Source organism: Homo sapiens, chromosome 6, assembly GCF_000001405.40.
Source record: "Homo sapiens chromosome 6, GRCh38.p14 Primary Assembly".
Lineage (NCBI taxonomy): Eukaryota > Metazoa > Chordata > Mammalia > Primates > Hominidae > Homo > Homo sapiens.
This window is the reverse complement of record NC_000006.12, coordinates 50,910,347-50,914,275: the sequence shown is the minus strand read 5'-3', so window position 1 is coordinate 50,914,275 and position 3,929 is coordinate 50,910,347. Positions and strand designations below refer to the sequence as shown.

Genomic DNA, 3,929 nt, shown 5'->3' with positions numbered 1-3,929 from the left:
TCAATGTAGGCTACATGCAGTGGCTCACACCTATAATCCCAGCACTTTGGGAGGCTGAGGTGGGTGGATCACTTGAGGTCAGAAGTTCAAGACCAGCCTGGCCAACATGGTGATCTTTGTCTCTATTAAAAAATACAAAAATAAGCCAGGCGTGGTGGCGGGCACCTGTAATCCCAGCTACACTCAAGGCTGAGGCAAGAGATCACTTGAATCCAGGAGGCAGAGGCTGCAGTCAGCCAAAATTACTCCACTGCCCTCCAGCCTAGGCAACAGAGTGAGAATCTGTCTCAAAAATAAAAATAAAAATAAATCAATGTAGTATCAGACTTATATGTAGAAATTAAATATTTGACAAAATAACATGAAATTATAAGGAGAGAAATTAAAATTTATTATTTTAAGGTTCTTAATATACAAACTAGTATATTATCAGTTGAAGATAGTCTGCAATAATTTAAAGCTATATACTATAAACACTAAAGCAACCATTAATATAGCAAAATTGAAAATATGAAGTTAATAGGGCAACAAAGGAGATAAAATGTAATTTTAAGAAATATACAAATAATTACAAAAAGACAGCATAATAGTAAAAGAGAATGAACAGATAAAACAATTATAAAACAAACACCAAGCTGAGAGACTTAAACCTAATCACACGATAATCACACTAAATGTAAATGGTCCAAATACCCCCATCAAAAAGGAGAGACTTTCAAATAGATAATGAAAATTCAAGACCTAACCACAAAAAAAACACACTTAGAATATAAAGTCACAGATAGGGTAAAAGTGGAAGAATGACAAAAGAAGAGACATTCTTCACCAAGAGTCCTCGGGGTTTCCTGCTTCAGCAGTGCTTGGACGGAACCCGGCACTTGTCCCCCACCCAGGCCAGCTGCCCATAGCCAGCCCTCCGTCACGTCTTCACTGCACCCTCAGACCACCCCAAGGCCCCCACCGCCGCTCCAGCGCCACGCAGCCACCGCCGCCGCAGCCTCTCCTTAGTCATTGCCATGATGACTGCATCCAACTCGCAGGTGCGCCAGAACTACCACCAGGACTCAGAGGCCGCCATCAACCGCCAGATCAACCTGGAGCTCTACGCCTCCTACTTTAACCTCTCCATGTCTTACTACTTTGACCGTGATGATGCGGCTTTGAAGAACTTTGCCAAATACTTTCTTCACCAATCTCATGAGGAGAGGGAGCATGCTGAGAAACTGATGAAACTGCAGAACCAACAAGGTGGCTGAATTTTCCTTCAGGATATCAAGAAACCAGACTGATGACTGGGATAGTGGGCTGAATGTGATAGAGTGTGCATTACATTTGGAAAAAAATGTGAATCAGTCACTACTGGAACTGCACAAACTGGCCACTGACAAAAATGACCCCCATTTGTGTGACTTCATTGAGACACATTACCTGAATGAGCAGGTGAAAGCCATCAAAGAATTGGGTGAACGTGACCAACTTGCACAAGATGGGAGCACCCGAATCTGGCTTGGCAGAATATCTCTTTGACAAGCACACCCTGGGAGAAAGTGATAATGAAAGCTAAGCCTCAGGCTAATTTCCCCATAGCTGTGGGGTGACTTCCCTGGTCACCAAGGCAGTGCATGCATGTTGGGGTTTCCTTTACCTTTTCTATAAGTTGTACCAAAACATCCACTTAAGTTCTTTTGATTTGTACCATTCCTTCAAATAAAGAAATCTGGTACCCCCCCCCAAAAAAGAATGACAAAAGATAGCACATGTGAATACAAATAAAAAGTAAGCTACTGTGGCTACATTCATGTCAGACAAAGTAAATTTCAGAGTAGAGAATATTACCAGTAATAAATGATTATTTCATAGTGATAAAGGGGTCAATTCATGAAAAAGACATAATCCTAAACCTAATACAACAGTTCAAAATAAATGCAGCAAAAACTGGAAGGAGAAAGAAACAGATCTCCAATTATAGTCAGAGATTTCAATCCTCTTTCTCAATAAATGGCAGACTAATTAGCTAGAAATAAGTAAAGATATAGAAAATTTGAAGAGTATCAATCAGTTTGACCTAGACCCTTCACCCAAAAACAGCTTTCTGTGAAGTGCACACTGAACATTTACCAAGATGGAATATATTCTGGATCACAAGTAAGTCTCAACCAAATTTGAAAGCATTCAGATCACACAAAGTATATTCTCTGAATAAAAAGAATTAAATTAGAAATCAGTTAAAACATTTTAAAAATAAATCTGGTAACTACTGTTCTACTCTCTACTTCTAAGAGATCAACATTTTTAGGGTCCACATACATAGAATTTTATCTGTCAAGTTTTTAAAATAAAAATAAGTAAATATGGCAGTTCTATTAAAAATAAATCAATAACATAAAGATATCTGAAAAATTCCTCCAAATAATTGGAAACTAAATACCATACGTCTAAAAATAAATAAGAAGAGTTACTGAAAAGCATTTGGAACTGAATGAAAATTTTTAAAGAACAAGTTAAATGTATGTGATACCACTAAAGTAGCATCTATGAAGAAATTTATAGCACTAAATGCTTATAATGTAAAAGAAGAAAGTTATCAAATCAATTATCTCAGCTTCAGACTTAAGAAACTAGGAAAAGAAGAGCAAATAAAATCCAAAGCCACTAGAATAAATGCTGTAATTTTTAAAGAGCAGAAATCAATGAAAACAAAGTAGAAAAAAAAACAAAACAAAAATGTTATTATTTGAATAAATGAATAAAATTGAAAGACTTTGTCCAGACTGATCAAGAAAAAAAGAGTGAAGACACTAATCTTTTATCTGTTAGATTGGATTTTTAGTTAAAATTTTTCTCAGAAAATTCAGAACTAGATGGATTCACTGATGAATTCTACTAAACACCTAAGGAAAAAAATACAATTCTATGCAAATTCCTCCAGAAAATTTAAAACGGAGGGAAATGTTCCAACTCATTATTGGAGGCCATCATCATGCTATTACCAAATCCAGACAAAGCTATTATCGGAATAGGAAACTACTGGCCAACATCCTTCGTTAACATGGATGTAAAAATTCTAAACAATATTTTAGCAAATCAAATCCTATAACATATAAAAAAAGATGAGGCATCATGACAAAGTGACATTTATACCAGGAATGTCAGATTGGTTTAACATTTACAAATCAATTAATGTAATTCACTATACTAACAATCAAAAAAAGAAAAACCATATAATCATTTCAACAGACATACAAACAAAGCATTTGACAAAATCCCACATCCATTTCTCATAAAACTCTCAACAAACTAAGACTAAAACAGAACTACCTCAACTTGATAAAGGGCATTTACAAAGAACCTACAACAAACATTATATTTATAATATTTATTAGTGAAAGGCTGAAAACTTTCCCCCAAACATCAGAAACAAGACAGAGGTATCTGCTATCACCAATTTTATTCAACATTGTACTGGAATTTCTACTCAGAGAGAGAGAAAGAAAAAGGCATAAGAAACAAGTAAAACTGTATTTGTAAAAAAACATGGTTCACAAAGGTATAACCAGAAATCTGATAATATCTACCAAGAGAAAAAAATCTACAGAATTTATCACTGAATTTAGGAATGTTTCAGGACACAAAATCAAAATACAAAAATCAATTGTATTTCTCTATATTATTGATAAACAATCAGGATTTGAAACTTCAAAATAACATTATTTGCAGTAGCATCAGAAACAAAGTGAGGAGAGATAAATTTGACAAAACATGGAAGTTCTGTACAGTGAAAACTTCAAAATGTCACTGAAAGAAGCCCTAAATAAATAGATACACCATCTTCTTGAGTCAAATGACTCAATATTTCTAAGATATCAAGTCTAAAAAGTGACCTACAAATATTATGAATTTTCATTTATAATCCCAGCAGGGGATTTTTT

The 3,929-nt window shown here is 35.0% G+C and overlaps 1 pseudogene; it reads left to right on the top strand.

Moving 5' to 3' along the window:
• On the top strand, window positions 814–1,726 carry FTH1P5 (ferritin heavy chain 1 pseudogene 5; annotated as a pseudogene).